We start from the raw sequence: 13,970 nt of genomic DNA on the forward strand, positions 1-13,970 counted from the left end.
TGGTTTCTTCAGCATTTCTTGTTTTTGAGACAGAGTCTCACTCTGTCGCCCAGGCTGGAGTGCAGTGGGGTGATCTTGGCCGCCTGCAGCCTCTGCCTCCCCAGCTCAAGTGATCCTCCCACCTCAGCCTCCCGAGTAGCTGGGATTACAGATTCCCGCCACCATGCCCAGCTAATTTTTGTAGTTTTAGTAGAGGCAGGTTTCACCGTGTTGGCCAGGCTGGTCTCAAACCCCTGACCTCAAGTGATCCTCTCTCCTAGGCCTCCCAAAGTGCTGGGATTACAGGCGTGAGCCACCACACCCAGCCAGTTTCTTCAGCATTTCTGACTTTTTTACTGCAAACTGGTTCCTTCATACAGGTTAAGAATAGACCCACCAGCATTTCGTGGGATGGTCTTGATTCAGGGAAGCTCTACACCTTGGTCCTGACAGACCCGGATGCTCCCAGCAGGAAGGATCCCAAATACAGGTGAGAGGTGAGAAAGACGAGAAGAGCAGGTCATGCAGAGATGAGTTATCGGGTGTAAGTCCCTTGCTGGACACAGAGAAGTAGACCTGGTTTGGGATGCCCCCACCCATGCTTAAGCCAGAGAGTGCCTTTCCTGCCCTTTTGCCCCCCTACAGCAGGTGTCTGTAACTCACAGCCGAGAGCCATATCCACCTGTGGCCTGTTTTTATACAGCCCCATGAGCTAAGAATGGTTTTTACATTTTTATTTAGTTATTTATTTTTTATTTTTTTGAGACAGAGTCTCAGTCACCCAGGCTGGAGTGCAGTGGCATGATCTTGGCTCACTGCAACCTCCACCTCCCAGGTTCAAGTGATTCTCATGCCTCAGCTAACCGAGTAGCTGGAATTACAAGCGCCCACCACCATGCCTGGCTAATTTTTGTATTTTTAGTAGAGACGGGGTTTCACCTTGTCCAGGCTGCTCTCGAACTCCTGACCTCAGGTGATCTGCCCGCCTCAGTCTCCCAAAGTGCTGGGATTACAGGTGTGAGCCACTATGCCCGGCCTGGTTTTCACATTTTTAAATGATTGGTGAAAAATTGAAAGAAGAATAGTACTTTATGATGTGGAAATTACACAAAATTTACCTGTCAGTGTCCATCAGTTAACGTTTTATTGGAGCAAAGCTATGTGTCATCTGTGGCTGCTTTCATGCTGCCAAGGCCAAGTTGAATAGTTGCAACAGAGACTGTGGCCCCCAAAGCTTAACAAATTTATTCTCTGGCCTTTTAGTGGAAAGTTTGCTGACCTTTGCTCTAGAAAATGTCAGAGGGTGGGAGGGGCTGGGTCTGCTCTTCTGCAAACACATGAGGTTCGTGCTGGCCTCTAAGAAAGTGAGGACTGGGCCGGGCGCGGTGGCTCATGCCTGTAATTCCAGCACTTTGGGAGGCCGAGTCGGGGGGATCACGAGGTCAGGAGTTCAAGACCAGTCTGGCCAACATGGTGAAACCCCGTCTCTACTAAAAATACGAAAATTAGCCAGGCATGATGGCAGGCGCCTGTAATCCCAGCTACTTGGGAGCCTGAGGCAGAGAATTGCTTGAGCCCAGGAGGAGGAGCTTGCAGTGAGCCGAGATCGTGCCACTGCATTCCAGCCTGGGTGACAGAGTGAGACTCTGTCTCAAAAAAAAAAAAAAAAGAAAGGACTGTTGTTCGTGGCTGTGTTGTGGCAGCCAGCATGTTCTTGATGCCCAGTTGCTGACTGTGCAGTGAATGTTCCCTGATCTCCTGTGGTGCTGACATCCCGTGTTTCTTCATGCAGAGAATGGCATCATTTCCTGGTGGTCAACATGAAGGGCAATGACATCAGCAGTGGCACAGTCCTCTCCGATTATGTGGGCTCGGGGCCTCCCAAGGGCACAGGTTAGTAAAGGTTGTTTTTGGTGGGAGGTTGGGGAGGGAGCTCGGGGGCACATTAGGATTGACCCAATGCTTTTCTTTTGAGAGCCCTTAACCCTGCTGGAAATAGCATCTCAGCTTACCTCTAGGGCAGCTGCCTTCAGGGCACACATTCAGACCTGCAGCAGTGTCAGGTGGCTAGAGCCTTGGGTTCTGGACAGACGGACCCTTTGTGTAGAGCTGTCTCTGCACCCCTAGCCCTTTAGCAAGCAGGGAAGTTGGTGAGAGGGAAGCACTGTTGCAGAAAGCTTAGCATGGCCTTTTGGGGCTGCAGTGAGTGGAATACACAGTTAAACTATCTCAAGCCTTTGCCCGGGGTGATCTTTGAGTTTCTTTAAAACATTTCAGAAATGATCATAGTTTCCAAATTAACTATATAAGGTTGCTTTCTGTATTTGTTTCTGAAAAAGTCTAGCTGGGTATATTGAAAACAGATTTGGAAGACTTCAGTAGAACTATATTGAAGGCGCACACACACACACACACATTGTATTGTGTAGTATCGTGTTATAGCTATTATATATAAAATACATGTAGATATTTAGAGATAGAAAGAGAAAGCCCACCGTATTGAAACTTTCCAGGTTGGGTAAGTGCCACCTAAGCTGATGGTGAGATATGCATTCTTATTGCCTGGTGTTCAGTTCAGGATGTTTCCATTTGGTGGAACTGTCATAATCCTAGCTTTTTGTACAGCTTATCCAGCCAGGAGTTAACATGAAGAGGTACAAGAACATCTCTGACATGGACAGTTGGTCATGGGCTCATGGTTTCTCTGTAGACCCGGAAGCTTCAGATGCCTTTAAACCCTCTCACGCATGCATAGTAGATGGTAAAGGGACAGATTTCCCAGGGACCTAGTAAGTTCTCTAGGGCAGTTATAAAATTAGGCAGGTTAATTATGGGAAGCTTACCCATGAGAATAAGGCAATTCTCTCAAGTAAGAGCTGTGTTCTCATTTTTTTTTTTTGAGATGGAGTCTTGCTCTGTCTCCCAGGCTGGAGTGCAGTGGCACGATCTCGCTCACTGCAAGCTCCACCTCCCCGGTTCATGCCATTCTCCTGCCTCAGCCTCCCGAGTAGCTGGGACTACAGGTGTCCGCCACCATGCCTGGCTAATTTTATGCATTTTTAGTAGAGACGGGGTTTCACCGTGTTAGCCAGGATGGTCTCAATCTCCTGACCTTGTGATCTACCTGCCTCGGTCTCCCAAAGTGTTGGGATTACAGGCGTGAGCCACTGCGCCCGGCAGAGCTGTGTTCTCATTTTTAAAAAAGCCTCAGTAACTCATTTTCTTGTTGTTTTTTCCATATTCTTGTAATATGGTATAATTTACATGGTAACAAAATCCACAGATCGGAAGGGTTCAGTCAGCAAATGTGATCAATGCATACACCCATGGAAGGTAGCAGCCATTGGAAAGACAGATGACATTTCCATCGCCCAACGACATTCTCATGTGACCTTTTTACTTAAATTCCCCCAGAGCTAACCATATTCTGACTCCTGTCTCCATAAATCACTTTCACTATTCTTTTTTTTTTTTCTGAGATGGAGTCTCGCTCTGTCTCCCAGGCTGGAGTGCAATGGCGTGATCTCGGCTCACTACAACCTCTACCTCCTGTGTTCAAATGATTCTTCTGCCTCAGCCTCCTGAGTAGCTGGGATGACAGGCGCCCACCACCACGCCCAGCTAATTTTTGTATTTTTAGTAGAGTCAAGGTTTCACCATGTTGGCCAGGCTGGTCTCGAACTTCTGACCTTGTGATCCGCCCGCCTTGGCCTCCCAAAGTGCTGGGATTACAGGCGTGAGCCACTGTGTCCAGCCACTTTCGCTATTCTTGTGTTCATATAATGGTATCATGGACCAGGCACGGTGGCTCACGCCTATAATCCCAGCATGTTGGGAGGTGGAGGCAGTTGGATCACTTGAAGCCAGGAATTCAAGACCGGCCTGGCCAACATGGTACAACTCTGTCTCTACCAAAAATACAAAAATTATCCAGGCATGGTGGCATACGTCTGTAGTCCCAGCCACCTGTGGGGCTGAGGTGGGAGGATGGCTTGAACCCGGGAGGTGGAGGTTGCAGTGAGCTGAGATTGTGCCATTGCGCTCTAGCCTGGGCGATAGAGCAAGCCTCTGCCTCCAAAAAAAAAGTATCATGCAATGTGTATTTTAAAAAATTTGGGTGACTGGTCTGCTTCATTCCAGATAATATCTGTGAGATTGGTCCATAGATTGTATCAATAGTTACCCCTTTTTATTGCTCAGTAATATTCCCGTTGGTGAACAGGCCAGTTTGTTTAGCCATTCTCTATTGATGGGCATTTGGGATGTTTCCAGTATTTGGATATTATGAAGAAATATCCAAATATTATCCAGTCTTTTTGTTTAAACTTCTGTGTATTATTCTAGGACTATTTAGCTTTGAAAAGAAATTTGGGCACATGCTACACCAGGATGAACCCTGAGGAACATTATGTTAGTGAAATGAGCCAGTCACACAAAGACAAATACCGTACAATTCTATGAGATACCTAAAGTAGCCAAGCTCACTGAAACAAAGTGGAGTGGCTGCCATGCATTCTTTTTTTTTTTTTTTTTTTAAATTTTTTTTTTTCTTGAGACAGAGTCTTGCTCTGTCACCCAGGCTGGAGTGCAATGGTGTGATCGCGGCTCACTGCAACCTCCACCTCCCAGGTTTAAGCGATTCTCCTGCCTCAGCCTCCCGAGTAGCTGGAATACAGGTGTCCACCATCACACCCGGCTAATTTTTTTTACTTTTAGTAGAGACAGGGTTTCTCCATGTTGGGCAGGCTGGTCTTGAACTCCTGAGCTCAGATGATCTGCCCACCTCAGCCTCCCAAAGTGCTGGGATTACAGGCAAGAGCCACCATGCCTGGCAAAATTTACCATCTTAACTCTTTTTTTGAGGCTGGAGTGCAGTGGTGTGATCTCAGCTCACTTCAGCCTCCACCTCCCAGGTTCAAGTGATCCTCCCACCTCAGCCTCCTGGGTAGCTAGGATTACAGACACGTGCCACCATGTCTGGCTAATTTTTATATTTTTAGTAGAGACGGGGTTTCACCATCTTGGCCAAGCTGGTCTCAAATTCCTGACCTCAAGTGATCCACCTGCCTTAGCCTCTCAAAGTGCTGGGATTACAGGTGTGAGCCACTGCGCCCCCTCCATCTTAACCATTTTTAAGTGTACACTACAGTAGCGTTAACTACATTCACTTTTTTTTTTTTTTTTTTTTTTTTTTTTTTTGAGATAGGGTCTTACTCTGTCCCCTAGGCTGGAGCACAGTGGCACGTTTTCAGCTCACTGCAGGGCTCAGCTCACCTCCTGGGCTCAAGCAACCCTCCTACCTCAGGCTCCCGAGAAGCTGGGACTACAGGCACAGGCTACCTACCACATCCAGCAAATTTTTGTATTTCTAGTAGAGACGGGGTTTCGCCATATTGCCCAAGCTGGTCTCAAATTCCTCCTGGGCTCAGGTGACCCTCCCACCTTGGCCTCCCAAAGTCCTGGGATTATAAATGTGAGCTACCATGCCCGACCACTACATTCACATTGTTGTGAAACAGATCTCTAGATTTTTCATCTTCCCCAACAGAAACCCTGTCCCCATTGACCAACAGCTCCCCATTTCCCTTCCCCTAGCCCTGGCAGCCACCATTCCACTTTCTGTTGCAGTGTTTGTCTACTTTAGATACCTCGTGGAATTGTACAGTATTTGTCTTGCGACTGGCTAATTTCACTAATGTAATGTTCTCAAGGTTCTCTGGTGTAGCATGTGTCTGAATTTCTTTTTAAGGCTGAATAGTCCTAGAGTAACACAGGGGAGTAAAGAAAAAATAAAAGGCTGGATAATATTCTGTTGTGTGTATAAACCACATTCTGATCATCTTTTCATCCATCAGTGGACAGTCGGGTTGCTTCTGCTTCTTGGCTATTGTGAATACTGCTGCATTGAACATGGGTGTGCAAATATTTAAACAACTTTTTAAAAAATAACTTTGTTTCTGGCCGGGTGCAGTGGCTCACAGCTGTAATCCCAGCACTTTGGGAGGGCGAGATGGGTGGATCACTTGAGGTCAGGAGTTTTGCCAACATGGTGAAACCTGGTCTCTACTAAAAATACAAAAACAAAACAAAACAAAACATAACTGGGCGTGGTGGCACGTACCTGTAATCCTAGCTACTCAGGAGGCTGAGGCAGGAGAATTGCTTGAACCCAGGAGGCTGAGGTTGTAGTGAGCCGAGATCATGCCACTGCACTCCACGCCTAGGCAACAGAGTGAGACTCCGTCTCAAAAAAAAAAAAAAAACCCACTTTTTAAAAAAATAAGAGCTCATGGTACCTATTTGCATCCAGTACATCATTGAAGCTTGTAGAAAGCTGCTTAGTTAAAGTGAGGTTGGGTCACTTCGAAGTAGTCCTCCAGTTTTCTAAGCAAGTAAATTTTGGAGGTAGAAAGAAAATGTTCTCCTTTATCCTAGAGGCTCGACTGTGGTATGGTGGGCCCGGGTCATTGATTTGCTTTGTCCTTAATTGGTTGCTCCTACCTGACAGAAGTGAAATGGGTGTTCTGATGGGGGGTGGTGGGTGGTGACTTGAGAAGGTCCGGGAGCCTGAAGTGGGATGAATGAAGAGCACAGAGGCTCGTTGGGAGGCGAGGATAAGGGGGTGCAGAGGCCAGATCCCACAGGCCAGGAGAGGCTGGAACTAAGGGCTTGGGCTTGACACCAGTTACAGCAGGGGCCTAACACATTCTATTAGGTTGATGCAAAAGTAATTGCGGTTTTTGCCATTAATGTGTTAATTGCCATTAAATGTTAATTTGCACCAAATACCTGTCTGGACCCTCGGTGTCCTCCTTGTAAATGGTGTGGTCTGGGTGCCTCCATGTTGAAACATTCGATAAAAATGGATGATGTCCCCATCTCAAGTGCTGGGCTGTGTGTACATCTTCCCTCTGCCTCTCCCCACAGGCCTCCACCGCTATGTCTGGCTGGTTTACGAGCAGGACAGGCCGCTAAAGTGTGACGAGCCCATCCTCAGCAACCGATCTGGAGACCACCGTGGCAAATTCAAGGTGGCGTCCTTCCGTAAAAAGTATGAGCTCAGGGCCCCGGTGGCTGGCACGTGTTACCAGGCCGAGTGGGATGACTATGTGCCCAAACTGTACGAGCAGCTGTCTGGGAAGTAGGGGGTTAGCTTGGGGACCTGAACTGTCCTGGAGGCCCCAAGCCATGTTCCCCAGTTCAGTGTTGCATGTATAATAGATTTCTCCTCTTCCTGCCCCCCTTGGCATGGGTGAGACCTGACCAGTCAGATGGTAGTTGAGGGTGACTTTTCCTGCTGCCTGGCCTTTATAATTTTACTCACTCACTCTGATTTATGTTTTGATCAAATTTGAACTTCATTTTGGGGGGTATTTTGGTACTGTGATGGGGTCATCAAATTATTAATCTGAAAATAGCAACCCAGAATGTAAAAAAGAAAAAACTGGGGGGAAAAAGACCAGGTCTACAGTGATAGAGCAAAGCATCAAAGAATCTTTAAGGGAGGTTTAAAAAAAAAAAAAAAAAAAAAGATTGGTTGCCTCTGCCTTTGTGATCCTGAGTCCAGAATGGTACACAATGTGATTTTATGGTGATGTCACTCACCTAGACAACCAGAGGCTGGCATTGAGGCTAACCTCCAACACAGTGCATCTCAGATGCCTCAGTAGGCATCAGTATGTCACTCTGGTCCCTTTAAAGAGCAATCCTGGAAGAAGCAGGAGGGAGGGTGGCTTTGCTGTTGTTGGGACATGGCAATCTAGACCGGTAGCAGCGCTCGCTGACAGCTTGGGAGGAAACCTGAGATCTGTGTTTTTTAAATTGATCGTTCTTCATGGGGGTAAGAAAAGCTGGTCTGGAGTTGCTGAATGTTGCATTAATTGTGCTGTTTGCTTGTAGTTGAATAAAAATAGAAACCTGAATGAAGGAACTGAGTCCCCGGATGTTTTGTTCTATTGGGTATAGGTTTCATAAGTGTGAGAAGTCAAGTCTCAGGGTGAGTCGTCTCCGTGACCAGCAAGTAACAGCTGGGACTTGTTCTAGGGGCCATATGGAGGGTCTGTGCCTCTACATGTGCCATTAACCCACAGCAGGAGCAAACAGTTCAGATTTGAGGTTTCTAAAAAAAAAATCATAAAATGTGAGGCCGAGTCTTATTGCCCAAAAAGCACCTTTGCTTCAAGTGGTCCTTTTGACCCAAGAAGGATGTTCTAAAGAAGATGGCTGAAAACCTTCCCCCTTGGTGAAGTCTGGCGCGGACACCGTAACAATGCCTAAGAAGTAGCCTGCACTTCCCGTTCTGATGTGTTATCCACAGAGGCTCAGTACCAAAGAGGTGCGCAGGGTAGGAGGGTGAGAAGGTCACGGTCTCATGCCATCTGATGTACCGAAAGAAAGGAAAGGAGGTGTTTGAAGGTGCAAATCACTGTGATTTGGTCTCTGCGATGCAAAGGGGGGGGTCCTGAATCAGGCCTGACAGGTGCTAATGACTAGCCCTTCCCCATCTTTCACTGCAGTACTTTTTTCTCTGAAAAAACTTGGAAATGTTGCCTTGCTGGAAGCACATAAGGTAGATGTAAGTTTTCTTTTTTTCTTTTTTTAATTTTTTTGAGATGGAGTCTCACCCTGTCACCCAGGCTGGAACGCAGTGGAATAATCTCGGCTCACCGCAACCTCCACCTCCTGGGTGGGTTCAAGTGATTCTCTTGCCTCAGCCTCCTGAGTAGCTGGGATTACAGGCATGCACCACTATGCCCAGCTAATTTTGTATTTTTAGTAGAAAAGGGGTTTTGCCATGTTGGCCAGGCGGCTCTCAAACTCCTGACCTCCTGACCACTTTGGCCTCCCAAAGTGCTGGGATTACAGGCATGAGCCACCATGCCAAGCCTGGAAGTTTTTTTTTTTTTTTTTTTTTTTTTACTTTAGAGTTCTAAAATTCGTTTTTTTACGTAATAAGATTTTGTTGAACACAAGTTACAAAGAAAACAACTGTCAGCTGGGCGCCGTGGCTCACGCCTGTAATCCCAGCACTTTGAGAGGCCGAGGTGGGTGGATGAACTGAGGTCAGGAGTTCAAGACCAGCCTGGCCAACATGGTAAAACACCATCCCTACTAAAAATACAAAAATTAGCTGGACATGGTGGCGGGCGCTTGTAATCCCAGCTACTAGGGAGGCTAAGGCAGGAGAATCGCTTGAGCCTGGGAGGCGAGGTTGCAGTGAGCTGTGATCGCGCCATTGCACTTAAGCCTGGGTGACAAGAGCGAAACTCTGTCTCGAAAAAAAAAAAAACTGTCCTGTTGACCTTGGAAATAAATGTAAAGTCTGGGCATGGAGACTCACACCTGTAATCCCAGCACTTTGTGAGGCCAAGGTGGGGCAGATCACCAGCCTGGGCAACATGGCAAAACCCCTCTCTCTCTAAAAAAATGCAAAAATTAGCCCGATGTGTGGACTCGTTCCTGTAGTCCCAGCTACTAGGGAGGCTGAGGTGGGAGGATCACTTGAGGTCAGGAGGTCAAGGCTGCAGTAATTCCAGCTACTTGGGAGGTGGAGGCAGAAGAACTGCTTAAACCTGGGAGGTGGAGGATGCAGTGAGCCAACATCACGCCACTGCACTCCAACCTGGGTGACAGAGCGACACTCCATCTAAAAAAAAAATAGAAAAAGAAAAACATATTAATACTAACACGGAACTAAAGAGAAAAAAAAATACATATATATGAGAAGGCAGTAGTCATCTAAGAAAGAAGGGTGATGCCTTCAACTGGTATGTGATGTGAACTTCCCCAAGGGCGGCTAGGAAGGGGGTGACCCCCATTCTGAACTCAACTCTGGCCTCAAGGTCCAGCTGATAACCACCGGGCCCACTGGGTCACAAATTCCAGCTTCCTCATTTGAAAAAACATCAGGGTTGCAGGGGGTTGTCAGCCTGCCTTATTTACCTCACAGCGTTGTTGGAGGACAAAATCATCTTTTTTGGGATTAAGAGTTAATGTATGTAAATGACTAAACTTGGCCTGATTGTCATATAAGAACAAAGTACAAAAGTCCAGTTTCCTCAGGTCTGTTTCCTCACTGCAGCCTCCGCCTCCTGGGTTCAAGCGATTCTCCTGCCTCAGCCTTCCTAGTCCCCCTGCCTTCCTTACTGCCTCCTCAGGCAGGTACTAGGAGGAGTAGGACAACTCTGTCCATAGCAGGTGTTTGTTAGGAGCAGGGACCCACATCCCTGCTTCCGGGTAACTGCCCTGGGACACATCCTTGACAAACTTGCGCAGTGGGACTTTTTTTTGAGACCGAGTCTCATTCTGTTGCTCAGGCTGGAGTGCAGTGGTGCCATCTTGGCTCACTGCAGTCTCCGCCTCCCGGGTTCAAGCGATTCTCCTGCCTCAGCCTCCCGAGTAGCTGGGATTATAGGCGCCCACCACCACGCCCGGCTGATTTTTGTATTTTTAGTAGAGACGGGGTTTCACCATGTTGGCCAGGCTGATCTCAAACTCCTGACCTCAGATGATCCACCCACCTCGATCTCCCAAAGTGCTGGGATTACAGCTGTGAGCCACCGAGACCTTTTCTAAAGATAGCACCTACAATCTCAGACATAGGGCCCTTTCCCAAACTAGCTAGACATTTCTCACCACAGTGAGAAATGGATGAAAGAGGCTACAGGAAGCTTTTCTACCCTACTGAAGGTGGAATACTCCTTTGGGTATAGATCAGACAGGTCTCGATTCAGACCCCACCCTGCCACTGGAGTGAGCTTATTTCTTCATTTGTGAAAGCCTAGTGTTCCATCATGTGGCAAGCGTAAGCACGCCATCGACGTTATCTGTTTCTCTAACCCTTTCCAGTATTATTTTCAGATGTACCTAATATAGAAACTCCAATGAACAGAGGTACTTAGGAAACACAATTATCACTGAGTGTGATGTTACAGAAGGTTTTGTAGTTGGGATTAACCCATGTTGATAATTATTTATGAGTATACCTTTCTGCTTTAGCCTATCAGAGTGAACATGACTGGTCACATTTGTCTCCGATACATGAACATCCTGTAGGAAACAAGAGTGATCTTTAGGTCATCATATTCTTTTCTTTTGAAACAGAGTTTCACTGTTGTTGCCCAGGCTGGAGTGCAGTGGTGCCATCTTGGCTCACTGCAACCTCCGCCTCCCACGTTCAAGCGATTCTCCTGCCTCAGCCTCCCGAGTAGGTGGGATTACAGGTGCCCGCCACCACACCCAGCTAATTTTTGTATTTTTAGTAGAGATGGGGTTTCACCATGTTGGCCAGGCTGGTCTTGAATTCCTGACCTCAGGTGATCCACCCACCTCAGCCTTCCAAAGTGCTGGGCCCACCCCACGTCATCATACTCTAAAGAGCAATTTCCAGGAGTGTCCAAGGGAGAGAACACAAGTCATGGGTTCTTAGTTTCTGTTTCTGGTTGGGCCAGTAAAGCCCCTTCCTCGTCCCCCTTTTCCATTTATCACTAGACACAGAAACCAAAAACCATAGCTTCAGGCTGCCAAAAGCCTAGAACAAAACAAAACAGAGTAACAACAAAATAAGGTGGGTTGGACAAGCCTGATTGATAGAGGCTTAAGCATTTGGGATCTTACTGAGATTGTCCTGACTCCCAAATCATATCCCTGAAATTTTATATTTTTTACTATCTCATTGTTTTACATGTAAAATTATTCTAATAAAAGCAGAATATGAGGGGAGAGGGATCTAATATTACAGTGGGGTCATTTCAAATATTTGGTTATAGTGCCTTCTCCACAGCCTGCTTTTCTTTAAGGGTGCCCAATTTCTCTCTTCAGCAATGCATGCTTCTATGCACGACTGGCACGTGGGGGGTTTTGTGTGTGTGTGTGTGTGTGTGCGCGCGTGCGCGCGCACATGCCTTCTATTCTTTAGGACAGAAAGGTGCAGTTGACCACGTGCCCACATCGAATGGTGCAACACTATCTTCAGCCCCATAGAAGAACTTGGAAGACAGAGCTTTACCTGAAAGGCTTGAATGGCTCTTCTTGGAGCGACCGAGGCTATGGAGAACAGTTTCAGGAGGGTGGCTGTCCCTCTGAGTTGTGAACTGGTGAACCTAGAAGGGAAACTTCCTGCTACAATAACACAGCAAGGCGATGTGATGAACACTTTTATTTACAAATATAATTAAAAGCTCTGACAGTTATCATGCTCTTCCTTGGAACCTGAAAAATGTTTTGTTTTGTTTTTAAAGTGCATGCAAAAGAAGTAAAGCCTTTTTTTTTTTCATCATTTTTTATTGTAAGAAAATACACAGTTTGAAAGTGTGAATAATGCAATATTTATGACCAAGAAATGGGACTTAGGAAGGGGAAGGGAGATAAAGAAAAAGATCAAGATGATCTGATTGAGAGACAGTGTTGAACTCCAAATACTGAACTGGAAAAGGAGGGAGGTGGGGAGGAACAGGAGGAGGAAGTAAAAAAATTTGATCAGAGAAACAGTTAAAATACAATATGAAAATAAGTAATACCTCTCCTTAAATTCCTTCTATACACAAAATACACGATTTGCCAAAGCCCAATTTGTGCTACTGGGATTCTGTGAGCTCCTTAAGTGTATTCACATCCTCTGCAACAGCAGAAAATGATTATGATACAATCAGAATATGCTGAAGACAAGTTAAACTCTTGCCAGCAGGTTCTTAAAAATCACAAGATCTCTTCACCCCACCCACCCCCCGTCCCCAAAAAAGTAATAATATGTCACCACTGATATGTACATCACAATTAGTTTCTGTAAAATGTATCAAATTTTCAATCTTTAATAAAACTTTGTTTTTTTTATTCCTGATGAATAAATACCAAAAAAATAAAATAAAATAAAATAATGCAGCAGCTAGTTAAGGTGTAAGGCTGCGGATATTGTGTCTCTCTCCCCCTTGGCATTTATTATTATTATTTTTTGCTTTACTTTCACAGATTGGTGGTAATGAGTGATTGCTTAAAGCAATATACATCCACTTTTTTTGTTGTTGGTTTATTGGTTTTGTTAAAACTGTCTCCAAAGTTTTCACTGAAACATTTTGAATCACATCAATACTGTGACGTGTACTGTGAATAGAAGAGACGGCCAGGTTTTGGCCAGCACTGAAAGTTGACACGGGGGGAGGAAGGGGGCCCCTGATGGAGTAAGAATAAACAGGCACTAGTCCGACACGATGTCAGTAAGAGTAAGAGAGAGAGAGAGTGAGAGCAACGCCCGTTAAAATGGGGAATGTGGTTTTGCAGGGTCTGAATTTTTTTCTGTTTTCTTTTTTTTTTTTTTTTTTGTAAATGGCAAAAAATTTAATCTCATCTGTAGTCCTCCTTAGGAAAATCTAATGTAACCAAATTCCCAAATCCCATTCTGAGGCTCTCCATGTCAAAAGTTTCAATCTCTCGCTCTTGCCTTTCCAATAGGTTCTTTATTCTCTCGCTGCGTTCCTTCTGAAGGGCAGCCAGCTCCTCTTCAATCTGAAAGAAGCACGATGCAGTTCTTAATGGAAAGCATCTCCTAACAGGCACCCACGTGCACGCGATACACCCATAGGCACACATATGACATGCACACACACATAGGCACACACATGAAGTGCGCGCGCGCGCACACACACACACACACACACACACACACAGGAACTACGGGAGGACCGAGGAAGGCTGGCTGAGTCCTGTGATCAATGCATCTAAATCATTATATTTAAAACTTGCTCACAAGAATATCAATGTTTGGGGTCCACCTGGGGCTGGCAATGCCGTTCTAGCAAGCCCAGCGGCTGGGCGGATCTAGGTCAGTGTCCTGTGTTAGGGGATGGCTCATGAGAAGCTAAAAGACACTCAAGCACAATTGGATTGTGCTGCTTTCCCACAGAGAGCCAAATGCCTCCTGGGTCATTAGTAATTTAGTTCTAGAACAGGAGCTGGGAAAATAGTCTGTTACGTTGGTCTCAGGGAACTACTGGAAG

General features: G+C 46.1%; 2 protein-coding genes across 13 annotated transcripts in view; one reads left to right on the forward strand and one right to left on the reverse strand.

The window, feature by feature from the left end:
- Positions 1-7,905, forward strand: part of PEBP1 (phosphatidylethanolamine binding protein 1) — a 9,461-nt gene extending 1,556 nt beyond the window's left edge. Inside the window, exons 2-4 of the mRNA NM_002567.4 lie at positions 360-469; positions 1,772-1,872; positions 6,907-7,905. Of these exons, the coding sequence (NP_002558.1) occupies positions 360-469; positions 1,772-1,872; positions 6,907-7,124 (429 nt within the window). The 3' untranslated portion in view covers positions 7,125-7,905. The remainder of the gene's footprint in view (positions 1-359; positions 470-1,771; positions 1,873-6,906) is intronic.
- Positions 12,122-13,970, reverse strand: part of TAOK3 (TAO kinase 3) — a 223,107-nt gene continuing 221,258 nt past the window's right edge. For 9 of the 12 annotated variants that reach the window (NM_016281.4, NM_001346487.2, NM_001346492.2 and 6 more), the window contains one exon: positions 12,122-13,479. In NM_016281.4, coding sequence (NP_057365.3) covers positions 13,318-13,479 — 162 coding nt within the window. In that variant the 3' untranslated portion in view covers positions 12,122-13,317. The remainder of the gene's footprint in view (positions 13,480-13,970) is intronic. The other 3 variants (NM_001346493.2, NM_001346497.2, NM_001346496.2) reach the window with 1 other exon arrangement.

The sequence above is a fragment of the Homo sapiens genome, chromosome 12, assembly GCF_000001405.40.
Source record: "Homo sapiens chromosome 12, GRCh38.p14 Primary Assembly".
NCBI lineage: Eukaryota > Metazoa > Chordata > Mammalia > Primates > Hominidae > Homo > Homo sapiens.